This window comes from Homo sapiens, chromosome 10 (assembly GCF_000001405.40).
Source record: "Homo sapiens chromosome 10, GRCh38.p14 Primary Assembly".
NCBI classification, from domain to species: domain Eukaryota; kingdom Metazoa; phylum Chordata; class Mammalia; order Primates; family Hominidae; genus Homo; species Homo sapiens.
The window spans coordinates 91,598,725-91,626,634 of record NC_000010.11 but is presented as its reverse complement, the minus strand read 5'-3'; the positions used below and the strand labels follow the sequence as shown (position 1 = coordinate 91,626,634).

General features: G+C 40.3%; 1 long non-coding RNA gene across 1 annotated transcript in view; it reads left to right on the top strand.

The window, feature by feature from the left end:
- HECTD2-AS1 (HECTD2 antisense RNA 1) overlaps window positions 15,175-27,910 on the top strand; it is a 304,499-nt gene continuing 291,763 nt past the window's right edge. Inside the window, exon 1 of the long non-coding RNA NR_024467.1 lies at window positions 15,175-15,284. This is a non-coding gene — a long non-coding RNA (HECTD2 antisense RNA 1). The remainder of the gene's footprint in view (window positions 15,285-27,910) is intronic.

Genomic DNA, 27,910 nt, shown 5'->3' with positions numbered 1-27,910 from the left:
ACCGTTGCTGACTCCTGGCCTTGACTTTTCCCTCTTTTTGACAATGAGTGGACACCCATTCCTGGATTTGGATGGTCCCTCTAAGCCAGTGGTCCTTAACTTTGCCTGCATATCAGATTTAACTGGTAAGCTTTACAAAATACTGATGCCTCCCCCTGAACCTCATAAGATTTGGATTTAATTGGTCCAAGTCGTGCCCTGTGCATTGGACAGTTCTAAAAACTTTCCAGATGTTTCCAATATGCATCAAGTTTGAGGACCTCTGATTTAAGCTGTGTGAAGTGTTTTCAACTGTCCCGATTCAGAGAACAGAGTCATGTAATGGCTCAGAGGATTCCTCCACCCACTTACACACACACACACACACACACACACACACACACACACACAAAATAAAAATTAAAAATAAAATTAAAAATTAAAGATTAAAAATAAAAAAACCAAAAACCAACCAGACGGTGAAATAGAGGTCCATAGTGATTAAAATTTGCTGAAGATTACAGAAATAGTAGAGCTTGGCCTACTGCCCCTTCTCCAACACCCCCAGCCCTGCCCATACCATCTCCTGCTAAACAACCTGGACATGGACTTCTTAATTTTACTAATCAATTATCTCTTTTTCTCTTTTCTGATCTTTTGTGTATAGGAGTAGGTTAATGAGGAGGCTTTTTGGCACAAGTGACATGATCCCTTGACTCACGTATCTTCAACTACAAAGGAAATAGATTATCCTACAATACAAGATGCAAGGTAGAGTGTTTTCAAAGTTGGTTAAGTCAGTGGCTTAAACTCAGGTTATTTCTGTTTTTTTCATTTTACCATCCTCATTACTCTTTCTTTTTCTTTCTTTTTTTTGTTTTTTGAGACAGTCTTGCTCCATCACCCAGGGTGGAGTGCAGTGGTGCAATCTCAGCTCACTGCAACATCTGCCTCCTGGGTTCAAGCGATTCTTGTGCCTCAGCCTCCCAAGTAGCTGGGACTACAGGCGCGCACCACCACACCCAGCCAATTTTTGTATTTTTAGTAGAGATGGGGTTTCCCCATGTTGCCCCGGCTGGTCTCGAACTTCTGACCTCAAGTGATCTGCCCACCTCAGCCTCCCAAAGTACCAGTATTATAGGCGTGAGCTACTGTGCCCAGCCTATCCTCATTACTCTTGATTGTCCCTGTGCTAACTTCCTAATGATAAGATGGCTGCCATAGTTTCCAGGCATGTTAAGCAGACATAATAGCCCCACCAGGAGAAGGAGCCTATCTCTTCCTTGTGTCACTTTTTTTATGGGTGAATAAACCTTGTCCAGAAGCTTCTCTTATCCTCCACTGCAGACTTGCAGACTCTCCCCTATGTTTCACTGACCAGAATTAAATCATGGTTCTGTACGTGAACTAGTCTCTGCACAGGGAAATGGGACTTCATGATTGGCTCAGAAAAGTCAGGATTCCCACCCCACAACTGCCCACTCAGTCAGGGGTTAGAGAAGGTCTAGCCTTCTGAAACACCAAGTCATTTAGTAGAAGAATACTGGGACTCCATCTCATGGCTGCCCTTGACACAGGCATTCATAAATGGTTGAGGCCCATTGTTTCAGCAGCAACTCAAAAACAATTATTCACAGGGCCAAGGTAATACAAGCCAACTTTTCAGTTTGTAATTAAGGATAGAAATGAGTTATCCAGAGAAGCAGATGAATCACATACTTTTCACATATTAAGAAATTAGGTCTGGAGTCAGACAGAACTAGATTTAAATCTCTATCCCACCAGTTTTGTGGTGCAGCCTTCAGCAAGTGACTTAATGTCTCCAAGTCTCAGTGTTCCTATCTTTAAAATGGGAACAATAACAATTCCTACCTCACAGAGTGATTATGAGAATAAAGTGAGATCATGGAGATGATGTGTTAACAAAGTATTTGGCCAATAGTATGTAATAAATAAATATGTATTGTCACTAATACTAATGATAAAAAGTTTCCCCACAAATTTTTCTTTTTACAGTGTGAATCTTAAATTTGAGATTCTTTTCTCAAATAAGGACTTAGTACTAATATTAGTATTCTGTGTTACTGATTGGGACAGAACAGTATCTGAATAGCACTGTAGGAAGAGTCACTCATTCATCCAACATATATTTATACAGCACTAACTATGTGTTTGGCACTGAATATATAGTGATGAACAAGACAAGACAAACATGATTTCTGCTGTCATGGAGCATGAGTGCTGGAGACATTTTCACATCTCTACCCTATCAGTTCATAGTAACACCCCAGCTGGATAATTTTGGGTAAGTTGCACTATCACTCAAGTCTCAATCCTCTATGAAATGGGTTGATTATTTACAAGCTTGTCGTGAGGCTTAATAACAACAGTGGTGTATTAGTCTATTCTCATGCTCCTAATAAAGACATACCCAAGACTGGGTAATTTATGAAGGAAAGTGGTTTAATGGACTCACAGTTCCACATGGCTGGGGAAACCTCACAATCATGGCGGAAGGCAAAGGAAGAGCAAAGGGACGTCTTACAAGGTGGCAAGCAAGAGAGCTTGGGCAGGGGAGCTCCCATTTATAAAACCATCAGATCTCTTGAGACTTATTCACTACCATGAAAACAGTATGGGAGAAACTGCCCCCATGATTCAGTTATCTCCACTTGGCCCTGCCCTTGACACATGAGGATTATTACAATTCAACATGAGATTTGGGTAGGGACACAGCCAAACCATATCAAGTGGCTTATAATTATATAACCCTTATTACATGGTCAGCACGATTCTAAGTTATAGCCTCATTTAACTCTCACAACAGTTCTATGAGGTTGGTTTCTCTTATTAACCTCATTTTACAGATGAGGAAACTGAGGCACAGGCAAGATTTGTGACTTGTCTAAGGTCAGAGGGTTAGTAAGTGTTGGAGCTAAGACTTGAGCTCAAACTTAAAAGTTTGTGGTCACAACATTTACACTGTGATACTTCTCAAAACTCTTATTCATAGTGTACCTTTTAAGTATTTTGTATATTTGTATTTAACCCAGTTCTTGATATATTTGAGTTGACATATACCATTTTATTATTTGTTTTGTATTTGACCCATTTGTTTATGTTCCTTTTCATTTCTTGTTTTCTTTTGGATTTTTTTGGTTATTCTATATTTTCCAGTTTATTAACTTAATAGTTACAGATTCTTTTCTTTTAGTGATTACCCTAGTGATTACAACACACATCCTTTATTCTTACAGTATAGTGAAAATGATCATTTTGACACCTTCTTTGATAAAGCTAGGACCTTAAGCACTTTACCATCCTCCTATCATTTGCATTTTTATTATATATTTTAATTCTAAATATACTTTAAGCCCCATGAGATAGGATCATGTTGTTTTGTTCAGTCACCATTATTTTTTTATTTGTCTGTGTTTTACTCCTTCTGTTATTCTTTCTGTATTTCTGTGTTTCCGTCTTGGATCATTTTTCCTTTGGCCTGAAAAAAATCCCTTTAGTATTTCTTTGAATGTATGTTTGTTGGCGAAGAAGTCTCTCAGTTTTTGTTTAATTGAAAACATCTTCAGCTTTCATTTTTGAAAGACAGTTTCAGTAAATATATATTTCTGGGTAGGGATTTAGGTGGAGGTTAGAAAATTCTCTGCTATTATCTCTTCAAATATTTCCTCTGTCTCATGTTCTTTCTCTTCTCTTTCTGGGACTCTGATTAGACGTATGTTATATGTTTTCACTTTGCCCCACTGTCTTATCCTCTTTTCTCTATTTCCCACTCTTTTTTCTGTCTGGGCTTCAGTTCATATATTTGCTATTGACTTGTTTTCCAGTTCACATAGCCTTTCTTTGGCTATGTCTAATTCTGCTTTTAAATACATTCCTGCATTTTTTATTCAGCTATATTTTTGAGTTAAAATTTTTATTTAGTTATTTTTTATAGTTCCCAATTTTCTGGGAACATCTTCATTTTTCATCCATTTCCCCCCTTTCCTCTATTTTTCTTGGAAATGGTAATGATAGTTAATCTCAAAGTACTTGTCTTCTAATTCCAAAATCTGAATCTCCTGCGGGTCTGATTCTGTCATATACTTTTTTCTTGTTTTTTTTTTTTCATGTGGTCTTGCCTTTTGGTATTCTAATAATGTTTGATTAAATGACAAGTATTATGTATAACAAAAATAGATATTAAAAATTTCAGGGCTGGGCATGGTGGCACATGCCTGTAAACCAAATGCTTTGGGAGGCCGAAGTGGGTGGATTGCTTGAGCTCAGGAATTCAAGACCACCCTGGGCAACTTAGCAAAACCCTGTCTCTATGAAAAAAAAAAAAAAAACCCACAAAAATTAGCTGGGTGTCATGATGTAGGCCTGTAGTCCCAGCTACCTGGGAGACTGAGGTGGGAGGATCCCTGGAGCCTGAGAGATTGAGGCTGCAGTGAGCTGTCATCATGCCACTGCACTCCAGCCTGGGTGACAGAGTGAGAGCCTGTTTAAAAAAATTTTTTTTTTCAAGAAAATAGATGAAAAGATAGAGAATTTTGCCAGATGTATAATCTTCCTTCAGAGAGTATCCACTCTTTCTTCTGCCAGACAGATTCAGGGCTGCTTGCCTCAGTCCAATCAGGGATTGAACTGAGTCAAGGCAAAGTTGCAGTCTTGGTAAAGCTAAATTTATCTTTGGTTCACCTCTGCTTGTAATCTACGACCTTCTAAAGCTGAGAGTTTGATGTTTGTGCCAGGGTTCCTCCTCCTGGAAGGTTTTGAACTCTAATCTTTGTTTCCTCAGCACACTGAATCTGCCAGAACTCCACTCTGCTTTTCAGGCTTTCTGGTGAGCCTCTTAGCCTCCTTCCCTTCAGAGTTTGGCAAATATCTTGAGTGGAAAATGAGCTGAGTGTTAGATTCAGTTTTCTGTATACACCCTCCTCACCAGGATATTGACTTCTGAATTCTTAAGTTTTCTTCTTCCCAGCTCTATGAGGCCACTAATAGCTCTATCAATGTTATTGGCCCTCATCCCAGGCAACACTCAGCTTCTCAGCTTTTTGCCTTCCCAGAATCAGCAAATACATTCAGCTAAGAAAAAAAAAATAGCTGCAGTACATCAGCTCAACCTAACTATAAAGCCCTACTTATTTAAGTAGCTCTTTAATGCCTTTAAATGATTTTTTTGGTATTTTTTTCCTGCATTTTTAGTTGACCTATATGTTATTATTATCTTCCTCAAAGCCCCTCTCACGTTCAGAAGTGGAAGTCCATCAGATCTTTGATTCTCTCTATAGTTTCTGCTTATTTCAAGCCCTCGTTGTCTCAGAAACTCTCTAATGTCTTCAAAAAAGTTTTGGGGTATTTTTTTAATGGCTTCTAGTTATTCTCATCAGGAGCATTAGTTTATTGCAAGTTACTTTGGCATAACCTTACCTGTTGTGTCTTAAATGAAATAACTTGTATAAAGCATTTAATCCAGTGCCTCATCCTATTCTAAGAAGAAGGGAATAAATATACTTTACTATTGTAAAAATTGAAGAGTATAACTAGGCTGGTAGCCTGGCTGGAAAACTATTTCACCTCTGCTCTCTAAAAGTACTCTAGGGATTATTCTAGTACCTAAAGAGGTGTTTGATAGCATCCTCAAAGTTATACCCTGTACAACATGACCAAGATGACTTTGGCCTTTAAAATTTAAAATTAAAGTTTAGATTGCCTTCTCCCAAATCCTCCAGTACAAAACATCTAAAAAGGCTAGATAAAATGCGTTCTAATTATATCTTTAGAATTATTGACCGAGCTGGGAAGAGTAAGGATGGCCTTAAAGGCCTTCTCTGCCCTCCTAAATTAAAAGAAAAAGCAGGTCTTTAGAGAGGTAAACGTGTATCGAAGCTGGCACCTGTCCTGAAGTTGTTTGCTAATCCCCAGGTTACCAACATTTGTTTTAACAGCTATGACTGCTAAGGGGACAGAAGACAAAGGATTAGGGCCCATTAAGGTGTGTGGGTGGGTTGGGAGCGTCACAGTTAATATCTAGTATAGCTAAGACCTAGAAAGGATACACTCTCAGTAAGAAAATAACATAACTTTTACAGAGAAATTCAACTAGGAAAGATGCCTGTCTCAATATTAGCTTTAGATATTAGGTGAGCGCAAAGTAATTGTGGTTTTTGCATTGTTGGGATTTACCATTTGATATTGGAATACATTCTTAGATAAATGTGGTTATGTTATACGTCATTTTAATGGGCATTTCTCATTTTATGTTTTTTTTTTTGCTAATGACTTGTTACTTGCTGTGTATGTTTATTTTAGACTATGGAAATGATGTTAGACAAAAAGCAAATTTGAGTGATTTTCTTATTCGAGTTCAAAATGGGTTGTAAAGCAGCGGAGACAACTCGCGACTTCAGCAACACATTTGGCCCAGGAACTGCTAACAAATGTACAGGGTAGTGGTGGTTCAAGAGCTTTTGCAAAGGAGCTAAGAGCCTTGAAGATGAGGAACATAGTGGCTGGCCATCGCAAGTTGACAATGACCAGTTGAGAGCGGTCATCAAGGCTGATTCTCTTACAACTACATGAGAAGTTATCTAAGAACTCACCGTTGACTGTTCTACAGTCATTTGGCATTTGAAGCAAATTGGAAGAGTGAAAAAGCTTGAAAAGTGGGTGCCTCATGAGCTGAGTGAAAATTTAAAAAATAGTCATTTTGAAGTGTTGTCTTCTCTTATTGTATGCAACGAAAATGAACCATTTCTTGATTGGATTATGATGTATCTCAAAAACTGGGTTTTATAAAACAACTGGTGATGACCAGCTCAGTGGTTAGACCAAGAAGCTCCAAAGCACTTCCCAAAGCCAAACTTGCACCAGAAAAAGTCATGGTCGCTGTATGGTGGTCTACTGCCGGTCCCATCCACTACAGCTTTCTGAATCCTGGAAAAACCATTATATCTGAGAAGTATGCTCAGCAAATCAATGAGATGCATGGAACATCACAATGACTGCAGCCAGCATTGGTTAACAGAAAGGGCCCAGTTCTTCTCCACGACAACGCCTACCACACATCGCACAACCAACGCTTCAAAAGTTGAATGAATTGGGCTATGATGTCTTGCCTCCTCAGCCATATTCACCTGACCTTTCACCAACTGGCTATTTTCACTTCTTTAAGCACTCGACAACTTTTTGCAGGGAAAACGCTCCCACAACCAGCAGGATGCAGAAAATGCTTTTCAAGAGTTTGTTGAATACCGAAGTATGGATTTTTTATGCTACGGGAATAAACAAACATTTCTCATTGGCAAAATATGTTGATTGTAATGGGTCCTATTTTGATTAATAAAGATATGTTTGAGCCTAGTTATAATGATTTGAACTGCAATTACTTTTGCACCAACCTGATAGATGGAAAAAAGCCCCAATCAATTCTTCCTAAAATTCATAACCACAATCTGGCCCTCTCATGGATTTACAACCTGAATTCATATTCTTTGTGCTCTGAAAAACCTCAAGCCCAGAATTTATTAAAAAATTGTTCTTGGTGGCTGGGCGCCATGGCTTACACCTGTAATTCCAGCACTTTGGGAGGCTGAGGCATGTTGATCACTTGATCAATATGGTGAAATGCCATCTCTACTAAAAAATACAAAAATTTTCCAGGCATGGTGGTGCACATCTGTAATCCCAGCTACTCGGGAGGCAGGAGAATAGCTTGAACCTGGGAGGCAGAGGTTGCCATGAGCTGAGATTGCACCACTGCACTCCAGTGTGGGACATAGAGTGAGACTCTGTCTCAATAAATAAATGAATAAGTAAATAAATAAATAAATATGGTCCTTGGTTGCAGTACCCAGGTGCTCGGTAAAAGCAAGCACACATGCTCTCTGCAAGAGTGCCTTCAGCCTAAGCCTCAAGGAATTTTCATGAAATACAAGCTCACACACAAAGCAATAAAAGGACAAATCTTTGAGAAAATGAATGAAGATAAAAGTGAGAACACTAGAATGGGAATTTTTTGTTAAATGTCATAACTATAGGTAATGCAGAAATGAAAAAATTAATAAGGAATTGCGAATAACTTTAATATATCTGAAAACTTAGATAAAATGGAAACATTCCTTAAAAAGTATATTGCATGAAAATAATCTCAGTAAGAAATGGAAAACTTGACTAGTCCTATAAACATATAAGATTAGTAGTTTAAGACTTGTAGTTTAAAATCTACCCGCAAATAAAATACCTGGCCCAGATGTTTTTATAGATGTTTTGTGTCAAACATTCAAAGGCCAAATATCTTTGCTCTTACACAAAATATTTCAGAGTATATAAAAAAGGGGGGAACATTGTCCAACTTATTTATGAGTTAGCATAACCTTGATACTGAAATCTTACAAAAACAGTAAAGGAAAGGAAAATTATAAGCCAATCTTGCAAATAGGTAGATGCAAAAAAATTTTACCCAATAAATTATTAAAATAAATCCAATAATGTATTTTAAAATGTATTATGATCAAGTTGGGCTTATTCCAAGAATGTAAGATTGGTTTAACATTAGAACTTCAATTATGTTAATTTGCCACATAAATAGATTAAAGGAATAAAAACATACAGTCAACTCAATAAATACCAAAAATGTTTATAAAATTTCCTACTATTAATGAAAAAAATTCAAGCAACAAATAAGGAGAAACTTTCTTAGTTTGAAAAAAGGATATCTACCAAAAGGAAAAACAATTAAAACCTGCTGCAAACATCACACTATGGTAAATGTTGAAACTCTTTTTAAGATAAGGTCTTCTATTACTATCTCTTTAAAATATTATGTCAAAAATCTGAGCCAGTGGAGTAAAGCAAGAAAGAAATAAAAGTGAGATTGGAGGGAGAGTAATAATATTGGCATTATTTACAGATAATATGTTTGCCCGTTGTAGAAAACCCAAAAGAATCTATTACTAAATTATTAGAATAAATCTGAGAATTTATCAAGGTCGTTGGATGTAAGATTATGGTAGTTTTAGCCACAATACGGCCCCCAGTGCTTCCCACCTTCTGAAATTCACATGTTCCTTGTGTGGTCTCCTCCCATATTGCACCAACGTTGTTCTGTGTGGCCAATAGAACACATCAGAAATGGTTGGTGTATCACTTCCGTGTCAGGTTATGAAAGACACTATGTGTTTCATCTTAGTTGTCCCGTCTCTCTCTCTTACTTAGATTCACTTGTGCTGGGGGAAGCAGCTGCATTGTAATGAGCAGCTTTATCGGGGAGCCCCGCGTAATGAGGAACTGAGGCCCCTTGACAACCACTGTGTGAGTGAGCTGGGCAATAGGTCCTCCAGCCCAAGTCAAGCTTTCAGATGACTGCACCCTGCCTGACATCTTGATTACAACTTTATATGAGACCCTGATCCAAAAACTCCCAGCTAAGCTGCTCTTGAATTTCTGACTTAAACAAACTATGAAATAATAAATATTTGTGGTTTTCAGCTACGAAGTTTGGGATGATTTATGGCTTAGCAGTAGATGACTAATACAAAGATCAACACCCAGAAGTGAACTGAATATCTCTATATAGGCAATAAACAATATATATGGTATATTTCTGTGTATATATACATTCTATATATATAATATATTATATATTCTGTTTATATATATTTATATTATTGCTGCTATTGCAAAATAGTCCTTTTATATATACATTATATATAGGCTACTTTACAATAGCAGCAATAATTATAATATAATTTCTTTAGAATAAATATAACAAAAGTTTCACAAGATCTTTATGGAAAAAAATCATAAAAATGTATTTAAATGTTTTAAAAGAGCTCTACAAATGAAAAACTATTCCATATTTATGGTTAGGAAGGTAATATTACAAAGATATTTATCTACTACTTTATGCAATGCCAATTAAAACCAAGATACCAATGGGTTGGTTGTGTGTGTGTTTTTAAGAACTTGACAAATTGCTTCTAAAATTCATGTAGAAGCAGAAAGAGTCAAGAAGAGTCAAAAGCCTTCTAAAGGAAAAGAACATAATGGGGGACTTAGTGTAACAAATAAGATTTCATAAGAAATCTTAGTGTAACAAGATTTCTTATGAAATTATGTAACTAATTCAGTGGGGTATATCAGTTAGCTCAGGGGTGGACAAATTTCCAGTGAAACAAGATATAGAGCCTAGAAAGAAACCTATCCATATCTGAAGACCTGGCTTATGACAGAGCTGGAGATGATGCTGAGTGGAAAGAAAATGAACTTCACAGTACTTGGCTCTGGAGCAAATGGTTATCCACGTGGAAAAACATGAAACCAGGCTCCCACCACATGTCTTGCACAGGAATCAGTTCCAAGGGATTAAATAATTAAAGATGAAAGGGAAAGTTATTTAAAACCTTTTGGAGATGAGTAGTCTTTTAGGACCTTGGAGTTGGAAAGGCTTTCTAAAATAAAAGAAAAAACACAAACCAAAGGGAAACAACTGATTAGTTTAACCACATTAAAATTTAAAATTTTGTTTTTTTAAAAAATCAAAAGACGACATAAAGAAAGTGAAAAGATTAGCAACAAACTGGGAGCAGCTGTAATTGACAAAGGAGTAGTATCCAGAATATATAAAGAAGTCCAATACTTAATAAGCAAAAAAACCTATAGAAAAACAAGCAAAAAGACTTGAGTACTCTTCACAGAAGAGAAAACATGAATGGCCAATAAACATATGAAAAGATACTCGACCTCATTTATAACTAGGGAAATGCTAATTAAAACTACAAGGAGATATTATCTCACATCTACCTGAATGGCAAAAATTTAAACATCTGTAAAAAGCAAGTGTTGGTGAGTTTGTGAACAATGGGTCTCATACTCTGCTGGTGAGAGTATAAACTGGTGCCACCACCACCATTTGGGAAACACTCTGACGCTGTAAAGTTGAAGATGCAGAGCAATTCTACTTCTATGTATATATCCTACAAAGAAACTCTTGTACATCTGTATCAAGAGATATATAAGTATGTTTATAACAGTGTTATTTGTAAAAGCAAAAATGGAAATCAACACAAATATCCACTGAGTAGACTGGATAAATAAATTCTATCATTTCAATGGAATACAAAATATAAGTGAAGATGAATGGCAGCTACTCCTACCAACATGAATGAACCTCACAAACATAAAATTGAGCAAGAAAGGCAGGTTGCAGAAAATATATACAATATGATTCATTTACATAGAGTTCAAAACCACACAAAACTGAATATACATATATATTTAATGAATATATATTTCATATATATGAAAATAATAAAGTAAAGCAAGGAAATAAAAAGTGGAACTTGGCCTAGTGATTACTTCTGGGTAGAGGGATGGAGGAAATTGGGGAGGGTTACAAAGGAGGATCCAAATTATTGCTAATAATTTCTTTCTTAAGCAAACATTTCTTTTATATACATTATATATTATTTTATATATTATATATTTTTATTATATATTTATATATAATATATTATATATTGTATATAATATTATATAATATATATTATATATTGTATATAATATATACAATATACATAATATATATTGTATATATTATATAATATATACAATATATATTATATATATTGTATATATTATATAATATATATTTGAGATGGAGTCTGGCTCTGCCACCCAGGCTGGAGTGCAGTGGCGTGATCTTGGCTCACTGCAACCTCCGCCTCCCAGGTTCAAGCGATTCTCCTGGCTCAGCCTCCTGAGTAGCTGGGACTACAGGTGCGCACCAGCACGCCCAGCTAATTTTTGTATTTTTAGTAGAGATGGGACTTCACCATGTTGGGCAGGATGGAATCTATCTCCTGACCTCCTGATCCACCTGCCTCGGCCTCCCAGAGTGCTGGGATTACAAGCATGAGCTCGGCCGTAAATAATATTTTATAATAGAAAATTATAAACAGGTTTTATTAGTACCTACAAGCACAGTAGAAATGTTTTCATTTGTATCCTATGTGGGACTTTTATTTTCTTTTCCTATTTTTTTGGGGGTGGGGTGGGGGTGATTGCTTCCCTGTATAACCTTTAAGAATAATAAATTGTTTTGGAACATCTGGGATTTGAAAGCATTGTTCTGGCAGCCTTTAGGATGTGGTTTGAATTCATGACAGTAGTTCATTTTTATGTGTTGTTTCAAACCTTCTTTACGATTTTGAGATGCCAGATTGCATCAAGTTGAGTCTAACATTCCATTGGGCTCTCACTGCTGTTGCAGACACGGAAATAAAGCCAAATCCTTAGGTGTTTCTGTGAAGGATCAGCTATTCTCTAGATTCTTAGTGCTTACACTTGGGCTTCTGGGTGACAGAAAGGTCAATCCTATTTAACATGGAAACCAACCTCCTTGGACATTCTAATTGGCACCATGTAATGAACTCCCCTTGCTGATACCACCACCTACAACAATAGGCACCTACACCACACTGCCTTTCTGACTCCTAGCACAGTATCCCAGCCCTTATTTATCTAAATGAACACCATCAAACCAGGGTGGAGACATCCTGCTGTCTTGGGAACAGTGTCAACAATTCCATTATATCACCATCTAGGTTTAGTGTGCTTGAAAACAATGATCAGGCCACACCTATGCCAAAAACTTCCTATCACAGCAACAAAAGATATCGATGCTCCATATCACAAAAGGATACAGTCATAACGATGGGCAGTGGGTGCTTCCGGCTATTTGTCAGTACAGCTTCTCACAGCCCCTCTGTCTCACTCATGCTCTGTCAATGGATTAATAGCTCAGGACAACTGTGTGTCCCATGAGTCAGAGGGGCTGGTGAGTCACATGCTTATGCCAATTCCTCCGGCAGATACTTTATCCCAGCCATTTATAATGCTGACCATTTATAATGCTGACCAGACTCAAAGTAACTAAAACCAGCTGTAACCAGAGACATGCACAGACTCAAGTGTCCAGTTATGTACTCTGTTGGATGATATGACCTTCAAAATTAATCTTTGGGTAAGCCCAGTCTATAAACTGCTTGTTCATATGTCTACTCTGGATTTATGATATACTCTCTTCCTTGTGGTAGCTGACACTCTCTGGCTCTGACTGTTTAGATCATGTGAAATCTGACTTACCATCTAGCCAGGATCTTGAGCTCATTGCTACCAAAGTCCTGACTAACAACTTTAAAAAAATGGAAAGAAACCCCCAAAGGAACTGCCTTGGTGGCAAATAACTGCACAGTTAGAGCTGCTGTGATGGAGACAGAGGTATCTGGAGGACTTTGGCTCCTGGGTGTTATGACAATCTTTGGTCCAGAGGGAATAATATCTTATAACCCTGTATTTATACATGGTATTAAAATGTCAAAGGCGAATTTTCTAGGTCTATTCTGTAATCTGATTCCAGGGCAATATGATCCCTTTGCTCTTCAGCTGACTTCTGTCTTATCATCTATGTCAAAGCTTAAGTGTCACCTTCTCAGAGTGGTCTTCTCTGACTACCCCATCTAAAATAGGTATTCCCAGCCATTCTCCCTCATTCATTATTATTTTTTAAGATTTTATTTATGAATTTAATGTAAATGCCATGAAATATATGCAAAATTCATGAAAGTTATGAACAAAACATTAACACTACTCAAGTTTTATGTGGTTTAATTTCACCAATATCCCCTGGGTTCCATGGGAGGGATTTCAGCATAACATAATTATTTTCAGTTCAACGCAAAAAAAAAAAAAAAGATTGACTGAGCTTCTACTACGTGGTAGGCACTGAATCTACAGAAGTAAGATATATTCCTGCCCTCTCTTTTCTCAAACTACACATAATATGGCCCTTGTTAGCCTTTCTAATATGGATTGAAAATCTATGTGTAGGCCGGGCACGGTGGCTCACGCCTGTAATCCCAGCACTTTGGGAGGCCGAGGCAGGGGGATCACGAGGTCAGGAGATTGAGACCATCCTGGCTAACACGGTGAAACCCCGTCTCTACTAAAAAAAATACAAAAAAAATTAGCCGGGCGCTGTGGCAGGCGCCTGTAGTCGCAGCTACTCAGGAGGCTGAGGCAGGAGAATGGCGTGAACACGGGAAGCGGAGCTTGCAGTGAGCCGAGATCGCGCCACTGCATTCCAGCCTGGGCGACAGAGCGAGACTCCAACTCAAAAAAAAAAAAAAAAAAAAGAAAGAAAGAAAATCTATGTGTAAGTGTAATTCTGTGTTTTTTTTTTTTTTTTTTTTTTTGGCAGAGTCTTGCTCTGTTGCCCAGGCTGGAGTACAGTAGCATGATCACAGCTCACTGCAGCCTCAACCTCTTGGGCTCAAGTGATCCTCCTACCTCAGCTTCCCAGGTAGTTGGAACTATAGGCATGTGCCACCATATTTGGCTAATTTTTAATTTTTTGTAGAGATGGGGTCTCACTACCTCATTCATTATTTCATCAAGTGTTGTTGGGTGCCTGTGAGGTGCCTGGATCCCTCAGGGAACTTACGTTTACTGAGCATTTATTAATGTGACAGGCGCTATGTTAAGAGTTTTGTTTACATTTTCTCATTTCGTCCTATGAGGTATGTACTGTTATCATCACCATTTTACAAATAAGGAAGCTGAGGCACAGAGAGGCGAAGTAACCTGCCCAAGATCACACAGTTAATAAGGGGCAGAGCTGGGATTTGAGATCCAGAAGTGTGATCCTGAGCATGGGCATTTCCTCTCATAGCACCCTGTTCTTTTCCTTTCTCACACATCTCACAATTAGAATTCTATGTAATAGGGTGTGAGTGAGATTTTGTTCTGTTGTCTTGGAATGGCTGCCATTGCCCAAAGGTGACCCAGAAAGTGCTAAGCACTCTGGTTTTCTAAAGAGAGCTCTTAACCAGCCTTCAGCAATGCAGTGGCAGAACTGGCCTTAATACCACCAACCCTGCCCCTGTCCTGGGTCTGTAAGGAGAAGTCTGGGCTGGAATAAGGGGCTCAGAGTTTTCAGCCTGGAGGAGGTACAGAGTTCCTTGTGAGCATATTCCCAGGAGCAGGACCAGGAACAGGGGTTTTCCCTCCTCCAAGCCAAAGGAGAGTTGGGGGTGCTAAGGGGATCACTAATGTCATGTTTACTGGCTAGACATCTGCCTGGGCAGCAGTCCTGCTGTCAGCCCTGTCCCAGGAGAAGAGAAACATTGGAGAGAGAAGGCAGGGCTGAAATACGGTGTGGCCATGGCACAGGCTCCTTCCCACAGCTTGGCTCAGCAGGATGGTTAGATTTCCCACGCGTCAAAAGAATGCTGAGGAAGGTACTGGGCCTGGGCTGACTTGCTGTGCCCCCCTCTGCCCCCCGAAGATAGCCACCCTCTGGATGAGGGTCTCCAAGCAACAAGAGTTTGTGAGGTGGGCTACAAGTGGCAAGGGCTGGGGCCTGGGGAGGAAGAGCTCAAACACCCCTTCCCCTTCCCACCCCTGCCATGGAGGGAACTACATCCTGATGAGGTGGGTAGAGAGGTGAGAACAGAGACAGAGCAGACCCACCTGGATCTATGCCAAGCCCCAGTGGCAGCAAGTCTTGGCTACTCTGGGAGGGCAGAGGGCTTGGGATCAGATCTGAGATGGAGGTTTAAACTGGTCTTGACTAAACTGAATAGCTGAAAGTGACAGGAAGTAATGGAAACTGTGAGATATTTTAAAGGGGGGGAAAGAGGAGGAGATGATTTGACATAGCAAGTCAAGGATAGTGGAAAAAAATGAAAACTACATTGTGTTTATTCTCTGTGGATTTGAAGCTTCTTGGCAAATTGGTCCATTTATTTAATTGTGTGTGCATTTATGAATCGTCTCTTTTAATCAGACTTTAAGTTCTATGAGAGCAGGACATGTGTGTCTTATTGACTGCTTTACCCACTTTACCTAGTATGGAGTCTGGCAAAATAAATGTTGAAGTGAAAAGTAAAAGACACCACTATAGGCATGGGGAAGCTTAATTGGTTATGAATCCTGGCATTCCAGATGTCTGACTAAACCCCCCGGTAGATGCTCTGGAATCTTAGATGATAAAGAACTTTTAGGAAGAGGACCTCAGGGCAGGAGTGAAGAACACGTGCACTATAGCTATACAGACCTGGGTTCAAGACACTGCACCCCATACTCTACACTCCTGTCACATAACGTAACATTAGAGCTTCACTTTCCTCCTCTGACATGCCTTGATCATGTTTACCCTTCAGGATTCTTGTGGAATTTAAGTGACATTATGCATGTAAAGGCCTCTGGATTAAAGGGAACTCTTGTACACTGTTGGTGAGAATGTAAATTAGTACAGCCATTTTGGAAAGCGGTATGATGGTTCCCGAAAAAATGGAAAATAGAACTACCATATGATCCAGCAATCCCACTTCTGGGTGTACATCCAAATGAATTGAAATCAATACGTTGAAGAGATATCTGCACTCCCATGTGAATTGCAGCATTATTCACAATACCCAAGATATGGAAATAACCTAAGTGACCATCAATAGATGAATGGATAAAAATTTTAGTATATATACACAACAAAATACTATTCATCCTTAAGATAGAAGAAAATTCTGTTATTTGTGATGACAACATGAATTAACCTGGAGGACATCATGCTAAGTGAAATAAGCCAGGCACAGAAAGATAGATCCTATGTGATCTCACTTAGAATGTGAAATCTAAAAACTTCAAACTCATGGAAGTAGAGAGTAGAATGGTAGTTATAAGAGGCTGATAGGTGGGGGCAGATAGGGAATGGGGAAATGTTGGTCAAGGTGTACGAAGTTTCATTTTTAGACAGGAGGAGTCAGTTCTGGGGATCTGTTGCACAGCATGGTGGCTATAGTTAATAATAATATATTGCATATTTCAAAATTGCTAAAAGATAGATTTTAAATGTTCTCATCACAAAGAAATCGTAAGTATGTGAGTTGATGAGCCTGTTAAATTAGCTTGATTTGATCATTCTACAATGTATACATATATCGAAATATCACATTGTACCCCATAAATATGTACAATATTTGATAATTTTGAAAATAGATAATGTGGCTCAAACCATAAGAAATTTTTGGAGTAGCCAACTTGAAACTTACAGCTTTAAGGCTAAGAACTTTGAGAGTGTGGGTGTGGGGTGCCCAATTCTATATATGGGAATGATGAGGAGAAGCTAAAGGACTTTTCAAGTGTGTGATGTAGGAGTCAGGTGGAGATTACATATGGGAAAAGGCTTTGCAAACCATGAAGTGAGGAAAAGTGTTCACACACTTATAGCCAGAACACTGCAAGAGTTAATAATGGTCCTATTGCAGGCTCAGGGGCCTATCGTTTATTTATAGAAATGCCTTGGGGAGTTACAGATGGGGAGGGAAAGCAAAGAATGTGTTTCTGTGCATGCCTGTGTGTGTGTGTGTGTGTGTGTGTGTGTGTGTGTGAGAGAGAGAGAGAGAGAGAGAGACAGAGAGACAGAGAGAGAGAGAGAGAGAGAGAAATGTACAGGTTTAGCTTTTTCTGAGTTTCTATTTAACACACACCCCCTACCTCCTCCCTTCTCCCTTTTCTACCCCCTTATCTCCAGGCTGTCTCAGTGTCACCTCCTCCGGCCAGTTCCTTCTGGACACCTTGTCTGTCCTTGAGCTATCATGTAATCCTTCCGGGTATTGCCTCAGCTAGCGAGAGCCCAGTCCTGGCAGAAGCCACCCTGCAAATAATTCACTGTGAAAGCTGGGCTTGTTCTCTTCAAAGGGTAAAGTGGGCTAACGAGAAGGGACGAGAGCGTCCCCTGCCCCACCTCCACTCCCTCACAAGTTCTCTTTGGAAACTACCCTTCCCCTTCCTGGGATGACCTCTGTCCTTAATGAAATGGGAGAAACAGAATGTCAAGACTTGTTTCCTTTCCAAATAAAAGAGGAACGCGCTGAAGTGCATTTTAAATGCTGTCTGGCAAGAGTGGCGGGTTGGGGGAAGGGAGGAGGCTGACTTGCCTTTCTTTGCTAGATATCTGGGCACTTGGCCCACACGCTCTTTCTCCGTGAGATTTGAAGGGCAATGTGTCATTCTGGGAGAGGTCTGCAGTTTCTCCAAATATAAACTTTGCTGTTCTTAGGGTCATCATGTACAAGGGCAGTTGTGTTCATAGAACATATTAGGATTTAGAGGGATAGATATTAAGTAGGAGACCCCAAAGAAGTTTTGGGTCAGATTCCTGCTCTACTCCAGGGCCAGGGCCTATGCCCAGGACAGTGGAAAATAAAAGGAGTGCTTAAAATATTGGGAGCTGTAAGGAGTTGAATGAAAGGAGCACCCTTAAGGGATAGGGTGTCTGGGAACAGCTTCTTAAGTGGCAATATGAAGGATGGGTGGAGTTTGGACAGACACAGAGGAAAAGACGGTGTTTCTGGAAGCCACAGAGCACGAAAAAAGGCAGGAGGTGGCAATGACTATGGTGTGGTGGGAAAGCAGAGAGAAATGTGGTTGGCCACAGTCTGGGGCTGTGATGAGGATGAATGTAGCCAAATGATGGAGGTTGAGGAAAGTAGTCTTTTTAAAATTTAGGTAAAAGGGAGACAGACTGAAATTTGTCTTTCTCTGGATGCAATGCAATGTGAGCAGAGGATTAAAAAGTGGCCGGATGACTCAGGGAGACAGAGAGGTCAGTTGGGGGAGTCATTGTAGTAGCTCAAGTGAGAAGAGATAAAAACCTGGACTGAGGATGGCCAGTGAGCCTGACTGGATTAAGAGGAGCAAGGCAGCCCAGCCCCTCTGAGTGAGCTGCTTTTGTGGCCTTCTAGTACAGAATGAGAAGAGGTTCTTGGCTGGGCTAGCTTGGCCATAGTTATCTAGGGACTGGAAAGTGGCTTTCTGCTTATGTGAATGACTTGTATGACAGTACTGGATGCAATGCGCTCTTGATGTTTCCTCTTCAACTCAAGAGTATAGCGTCTGTGGCTGTTTGTTTCTAATTATTTCTTTTGTAGTTGGCAGTGATGGCCAAGAATTGGAGGTCAGTGAGCATGCTTTTTGTTTGGCTCAGTGAGTGGGTTTTGATTTTTTGTGGGAGATTGTATTCTCAGAATTTCAATTGCTAACTTTCTTTTCATTAGACAGGAGTCGTGTATTTACTGACCTTTTTTTAAAGAGCCTGTGAAACAGTGATGATTTCTGAGCAGTCAAAATGGTGATGAAGAATTTGCATTTATTATTGCCATCTTGATGTGCTTATCTCTTTTTTATTTTATTTTATTATTATTATACTTTAAGTTTTAGGGTACATGTGCACAATGTGCAGGTTAGTTACATATGTATACATGTGCCATGCTGGTGTGCTGCACCCATTAACTCGTCATTTAGCATTAGGTATATCTCCTAATGCTATCCCTCCCCCCTCTCCCCACCCCACAACAGTCCCCAGAGTGTGATGTTCCCCTTCCTGTGTCCATGTGTTCTCATTGTTCAATTCCCACCTATGAGTGAGAATATGCGGTGTTTGGTTTTTTGTTCTTGCAATAGTTTACTGAGAATGATGATTTCCAATTTCATCCATGTCCCTACAAAGGACATGAACTCATCATTTTTTATGGCTGCATTGTATTCCATGGTGTATATGTGCCACATTTTCTTAATCCAGTCTATTATTGTTGGACATTTGGGTTGGTTCCAAGTCTTTGCTATAGTGAATAGTGGTGCAATAAACATAGGTGTGCATGTGTCTTTATAGCAGCATGATTTATAGTCCTTTGGGTATATACCCAGTAATGGGATGGCTGGGTCAAATGGTATTTCTAGTTCTAGATCCCTGAGGAATTGCCACACTGACTTCCACAATGGTTGAACTAGTTTACAGTCCCACCAACAGTGTAAAAGTGTTCCTATTTCTCCACTTGATGTGCTTATCTCATATTGCATGCCTGTATCAAGACATCTCATGTCCCCCATAAATATATACATCTACTATGTACCCACAAAAATTAAAAATGAAAAAAATTTTAAAAAGAGAGACAACTTCCTTAAGGACTTCCTAACTCAGATCCTATTTACTACTATTCTGCACACAATTCTAATCAAATTAACTTCTTGTTTTCTAGACCACAGAACAGTGGAGGGTTAGAAAGCGTTTATACGTGTCAGGAGTCTCTCTCTCTCTGTATGTGTGTATGTGTGTTTGGTTATGGTGATGGCAGGCACAGAGGCAACAGTGAAATGGAATAGGTAATGATCACATAGATGGGGCAAGATGAAGCAGCTTTAAAAAGCTCAAGAAGCATAGCATCCTGGGACTATTGATTGTCCCCAAATCTGAATAATCCACAAGGGCATTTCTGTGTGGTATAATCACTGAGTTTCACTGTGATAACTTTAAATTATTAAGAGAATGTTAAGTTATTTTGTTGCTGAAACACCAGAGGTTTGGTCCAGGTCCTGCTGCTCACCACACAGAAAGCCAATCACTGAGACAACAAGTATTGCCAAGGAAGAAGGCTTTAATTGGGTGCTCCATCAGGGAGATGGGAGCTCAGTCTCAAATCCATCTCCCTGACTGACTAAAACTAAGGGTTTATGTAGCAGGGAAGAAATGTAACAATGTGTAAGGAAACAAGAACTAGGGAGAGGCAAGGAGGCATCTGGTGCCATGCTCTGGTGCATTTCAATTCTTTGATACTTTTTTTGAGAAGCTCTGAAGGAGGAAGGAACTCAGATAAAACAAATACAAGTTTTAAGCTTTAACAGCACAAGGGCCGATTTCTATGTTTATCAAAAAGAACAGTCTATGGGAGTATCAAGTTGGTTTCAATATTCTAGATATTCTGTTTAAGAATAGTGGGAAGGACACAACACTTTTTAGGAAGATTCCATCTTTATGAGGGTTAAGAAACTCAAATACTTTCAAGAGCCAGCAGGTAAAGTACATTAGTGAAGCAAATCAGGTGTATAATAGAAGGGGTGGCATGTCCAAAGACTCAGAAATTCAATTTAAAAAATAGTCAGTGCCAGTTGAAACACATATACCAGCTAAGTTCAGCCATCAGGATGCTCCTGTGAGATTCTTGGTCTAAGTGCTTAAATTTAAGTTTCAATGCTGGAAGATTTTTGGAAAGTCCTGAATGAGGAAGAATTTGCTTCCTAGATGTAAATAGCCTGGCCCTCAATCATAAATATTTGACAGGACCTTGTCTAACAGAGAAAACATTGACCTTTCTGTTGTCTTTCATGTACTAGGTCATGAAGCAGAAGGATGAACTGAGTCATAAATGAATCATTTCTCTTTAGGAGTCTCAGACTTAGCAAGGAGATTAACAAACCACATTGAAGAAATTCTTCATCCAATATCCTAAAACTTTTGTCTTCTTGAGAACAAACCAGCCCTTTTGAGACTCAAATGTCTCAAAGGGCAACTGGAAATGCAATCATTCCTTTGTCTAGAGAAATCCTTTCTTCTGAAATCAGTTATTTCTGACTTCATGTCAGCTCTGACTGCACTGGGCTACTAGATATTAATGCTTCAAATTATATTTGCTTTGGGCAATCCAGAATTGCAGGAGAATTGAATGTCTCTTAGCAAATCCTTTGCCATATTTGGAGAATAAAAGAAGCCTCTGCAAGTAGAGCCTTCTGTAGCTATGGGCTACATTTATGATTTGTTTTCACTGTCACCAGTCCCAAAGCTGGGCTTCTTATTGGTTTTCCAGTAAGTTTATTTTCACAAGATCAGTATGTGTGTGGTGGGATCTGATAAGACTTTGCTACAGGAAAGAACAACATTCTGAAGTCTGACTTGCTTTTAGAAATCCTTGGTCCTAAGTCAAAGTTGGAGACAGATTTATATTTGGAGCTAAAAAAGACTAAATGAGACTCGGTAAACAAGCAAATGAACATGGAACTGGACCCTCAGGAGAAGAATTGCAGCTTTGATAAATGGCAACCTGATTTGGAAAAGAGATGCCTTTATTAAACAGTCTAGTAGCCAAGTGGCCTGAAATGAAGGGTTTGCGATAGGTTCCCAAGCTGACCACACGAGGCAGGGCTCTGAATTGCAATGGATTCTTTCATTTACCACTAAATTAATTCCTTATCAAAATAGTGCTTGCCTCTGAAAGAAGGTTTTCATAATGAACAGAGAATTTACTTGCAAAAATTTGTCAAATCTATTATACAGTCCTGGAGAATTTGCCCCTTAGGTCAATGGTACTGGTGTTTGAACTAACCTCGCGGTGCCTTAAACTCAGAAGGATTCAACTTAACTTCGTTCCTTTTTGATCTTGAGATTTGGAGAAGCCACGGCATTGTTGGAATGTATTCCATGTTTTTAATATAAATGCATGATTTAGTTTCCATCTTCTGATTTATGCTTTGGGGGTAACAGTACAACCTTTTACAAGTAACAGCTGTTAGGATTACAAACAGCTATTTGTCTGTGCTCATTGTGAGTTCACATTAGGAATGAGTTGAAACGGATAAACCCAAGGTATGCAGGTTTGGCAGCATTCTTGTTTGTCATTTATTAATCAAGGGGAGGCTGGTTTCCTGCTGTGGGTTGCAGCCCATTCTCCAACTTCTGTGCGGATGTAGGGGATGGGTGCTGATGATTGAGAAATGCAGATAATCCTTGCCGTGCATCCACTTAACAGTTACTGAGTGCCGAGTGCTGACTGTGTGCCAGGCACTGGCTAGCCCCCAGACATTCACAAGCGAGTACAGAAAGACATAGTTCCTGCCCTCAAGAAGCTCACAGTCTAGTGGGAGAGTCAGACATTAATCAGACACTCTCCTAATAACTTGAATTATAAGCTGGTGTAGGTGTCATGAAGGAAAAGCCATTGGTGTTAGGAGGGCCCAGAAGGGAAACCTGACCTAGTGTGGGAGTCTCTGAAGGCTGAGATCTGAAGGAGGACACCCACCAGGAGAAACCAGGTAACCAGATGAAGCAGGAAGGGGTGATGCTGGGGATTTTCCAGTTAGAGGGAACAGCATCCACGTAGGAGTACCTGGCTGTGTAGAAAACTCCATCTTGTTTCATGGGAACAGCCTTCTTACCCATGGAAGACACCACAGCTTATAACACCTACCAAACTCCTACCTGTTGTCCAAAGACCATTTCAAAAGTTGACTTCTTTATGAAGCATTCCTCAAACCCCACAGTCAGATGCGATTATTTTCATGCTAGATCTTCTCTTATATACCTGATATAACATTGACAGGACCCTGTGTTTTGAATTTGAGAGGCAGAATAAGCCTATGGAGCTGGGCTCCCTGAGTTCAAATACTGACTCAGCTATTTATTTGCTGTGTGACCTTGGGCAAGTTGCTTAACATCTTTTGTATTTCTGTTTTGCCCTTTGTAAAATGAGCATGTTAATGGTACTTTCCTCAGGTTTGCTGGGAGAGTTAATACATACAAAGTCCTTAGTTCAGTGCTTGGCACTTAGTGAAACCTCATTAATGTAACCTATTGTTATTTAGTTCTGAGAAATATCTATTTCCTTATTAGTTTTGCCAAGTGCTCAGATCTGGCAAGAGTTTAATGAGGAACTCCACCCATATCTATTAACATCTTGTCTAGTGTACATCCTGGAATATGGGGCTGCTTTCAATCACAGTGCCTCTCAAACTTTATGTGTGCCTGAATAACCTAGGAATCTTGTTAAGATGCAGATTCTGATTCAGCTGGTCTGAGATGGGGCCTGACCTGTATTTCCAATAAGCTCCCAGGCGATGCTCATGCAGCTGGTCTGTGGGGCACACACCGAGTGTCCAAAAATTGGAATAATTCTCGGGGTCATTTCTGCATAGTATAATCACTAAGCTTCAAAGTGAGAACCTGTCTCTGGAGGAAAGACAGGAGCCCATGGGAGGAGGAGGGGACTCAGTCTATAACACCTGCACCCAGGCACTGCACGGCGTGGTCTGCTTTTCACCTGCAGAAGCTGTTCAGTCAGTGTGAGGTGAATGTCATCAGCTGCCATTGGTGGTCTAGTGTTTGAGGACTTTAGTCAAGATTCTTCAGAGATGACTAGAGAGCAACAGTGAGAGAGGAAGTGAGGGAGATTTATTTTAAGGGACTGTAGGGCAGACTGGCATGCTGTAAATTCAGAGAAGAATTGATATTGAAATCTCTAGTCTGAGATTTGTAGGGCAGGCTGGCAAGCTGGAAACTCAGGCAGAATTTCTCGAGGCAGAATTCCTTCCTTCCCAGAAAGCCATTATTTTAGCTTTTGAGGCCTTCAACTGATGAAATGAGGCCTGCCTACATTATAGAGTACCTTCTGCTTTCCTTAAAGTCAATGTAATTGTAAATGTTAATCACATCTGAAAAATACCATCACAACAACATCTAGACTAGTATTGGATCAAACACCGGGACAACATAGCCTTGCCAAGATGACACATAAAATTAACCAACATGAGGGCCAAAGAACATGGCCTGTTCCATGGCCTCAGATCATACCTTTCATCCCTTCCATGTCAGAATGTGGACGAACCCCTGGAAAGCCACCTCCCTTCTGGGGCAGAGATTCTAAGGGGTTGGCCCCCACCTTGGGATTTGAAGGGTGGCGTTAGCATTTGAGAGTTGCGTTTGAGGTGGTTTGTGCTCTGTTATGCCCAACTTGGGCCTAATTAATGAACTCCTTTGGCTAAGTTTTTTAGTGAAAAACAAGAAGGTCACTCCAATTCAAACAGCTACCTACCTTGGAGTGCCAAGCACAGGGCTGAAAATTCAGATCCTGTTTACTGGGGGCCACACCACTGGATTGTAAGCAGCAGGCAGTTCTTTCCAAGGGGTCTTGGAGAGCTTCTAAGTCCCCTGCTGTGGTCTTGACTAATTCTGACAACAGAGAAAAGGGGCAAAAAATGCTCTGTGGTCCTCAGGGAAATGTCCAGTGAGCAAACGCCATGCCATGGGAGGGCCGTAACAGGCACATCTGAGACTTCACATTTGTCTTTATTCAGGTGTCCCAAGGCACTTTCTAGTCCATGATTTCATGTCGTTTTCAGTATAGCCTGGTGGGACAGGCAGTGCAAATGGTTAACTTCTGCTTTTTATCCTGATTCGAGGAAATGGTACCATCTCCTGGTGCAATCGCCTCGAGGTGGATGGCAGATAGGCAAGTGCAAGGCTGTGGAACCTGGTCGACTTGAGTTGGAATTCCTGCTTCACCCATTACTATCTGAGTGGTCCTGGACAAGTTACCACAACCCTGTGAGCCTCAATTTCTGTGTCTGTAGTAATGACCTTGAATGTTTGAAGTGAGGATTGCATCACATGGCTCAGTGTCTGTCATCCAATAGATGCTTGACAAATGGGGGTAACTTTTTTCCCAGGGAAAAATGTATCAGGGGGAAAAACCTGGGGAAGTCCTGAGAATCCCCCTTGAGTATTTTTATCATGACTGCAGTAGACATGCTGTGGGGTGCTGCCCATCATTCCCCCAGCAGCCCTCTCTGGCCCTACTGAGGCTCCTGGTTTGTACTGAGTGCCCTATCCTTAATTGCAGCTAGCTGGGTGAAGGAAGCCTGCTTGACCAGGATGGACTTGGATTCCTCTCCTGGGAATTTAGAATGGGGACACTGAGGGACTGAGCCATTGAGCTGTTGGGAACTGAGCTGAAAGGTTGTAAGGTCTTGGGAACTGAGGCAACTGTGATGATGACTGTGCACACTGAGGTAGTGGCAGGGAAGCCCTTAGATGGAGAGAATGGGAGATGTGAGAGGAGGTATAATGAGGAGAGATGGGTCATGCAGGCCTTGGAAGATAGAGCCATCGTTCTTAACAGCTTCCTGGTTCCCATGAGGCCAGGTGGAATCTTTCCTACCCTTGGATTCCATGGGACCTGTATTATAATGAGTCAGCTGCCTTTTGCTATCTGGCTTGAGTGTGTATCTATTCCTCATTATGAGAAGATCCATGATGAGGAGCAGAAAGATGAAGAAATGGGGGTTCTGAGAAGCACGATTACTTGACGAGCCTAGACGCCCAGGCCAAGGCTCCTGCTCTTGGCTGCCATGTCTGGCAAGTGCAGTTGTTACAATGGCCATTCTCTCTGGTCTTGGGCTGCTAATAGGGAGTCCGTGGAGGTAGGTTGGGGAAGGAGGTGTGACCTAGGAGGGAAGATGTGGTGCTGACCCTGCCTGATATTTTCCCTCACTGACTCCTGCTTTCCCCATGTTCCATGCAGCTGCTCATCCAGGCTCCGCTCAGAGTTATGAAGGTGCTTCTGGTGTCTTCCTCCTTGAATTGGGCACTGGTTCGCAGTGGCCCTGCCTATGTTTCTCTGAAGGGGAGAAGTTATTTAATTAGTGGAAATGGATCCCAGGGGATCTGGTTCAACTTGGCTCCCATCCAGTGAATTCATCTGGCTTAGAAGTCAGGTTTCCCTGACCTTTTGGACAAAACCAGGCAGACTAGGGCCTAAGCATAATAAAGAAAAACCTGGGGAGGTCTTGGGCACTCCCCCTTGAGTATTCCAGAGTAGCTGGTCTGAGCTTAGGGCTCACCGTGGACATCATGGAGCTGGAGTGCTGCAGGGAGCCTGGGTACCACCTTAGACTTGGCTGTCCCATGGGGTAGAATGTTGAACATCCCACTAGGCTAGAACTGTGCTTCCCAAATTTGAGGGCACTGAAGTGCTGACTACATCAGAACCACAGGGGCATTTGTTAACATACAGATTCATGAATCCCTTTTTCATTCACGATATACAGGATGAGGCCTGGGAAACTCTAGTTTTAACAAGTACCAGGTGATTCTGATAATCAGCCATGATGGAAACTGCCCTCACGTAGGTGGCTCATTAATGTCAGTCTTAGATTCTTTGAAATGGTCCTGCAGCAAACACCATGCATGAAAATTTCTGTAGTCTAATTCTTACCCTCAAAATAGATGTTGTTATAGATTGAACTGTGTCCCTCTCAAATTCAAATGCTGAAGTCCTAACCCCCAGTACCTCAAGACTTGATCTTATTTGGAAATAGGCTCATTGCTGATATAATTAGTTAGGATGTATAATTACTAGAGTAGGATGGGCCCCTAATCCAACACGAATCATGTCCTTATAAAAAGGGAAAAATTTGGACACAGAGACAGACACAGACACATATAGAGGGAAGATGATATGAAGAGACACAGGGAAAGTGCCATGTGAATTATGCAGCCACAAGCCAAGGAACATCTGGGACCACCAGAAACTGGAAGAGGCAAGAAAGATCCTTCTCTTATAGGTTTCAGGTGAACACAGACCTGCCAATACTTTGATTTGAGACTTCTAGCCTCCAGAACTGTTTAACAATAAATTTCCATTGTGCTCGGCCTTCTGGTTTGTAGTAATTTACGATGGCAGTCCCAAGACTCTAATACAGACGCTAATAATTTTTTAGTTTTTTTTACAATATTATTTTATTTTTTTTAAGCCAACAAATAATAATTGTACATATTCATGGGGTACATAGTAATGTTTTGATACAAATAATGTATAGTGATCAGATCAGGGTAATAGCATATCCATCATCTCAAACATTTATAATTTTTCTGTATTGGGAACATTTGATATAATTCTAGCTATTTGAAACTCTATGTTATTGTTAACTATAATCATCCTACAATGCTGTGTAGCACACTAGAACTTACTCCTCCTATCTAGCTGTAATATTGTATTCTTTAACAAATCTCTTCCTCTACCATTCCCTCTGCCCTTGAAATTAATTTTTTAGTTTTGAATATCAGCTCTCTGCACGTCATTCCCTTGTTCCACTGAGTTGATCTGCCTTACTTCTTGGGTGTGAAATGAAGCTTCCATAAGGTCTGGGTGTAGCCTGTGGGTGTGCCCTCTTTCAGGGGCAGAGAGTGGTGATTCACAAGCAGGAAATCTTCATTCCCATGAGGAATGTGACAGTGCCTTATGACGCCAGTGAGATGCCAAAG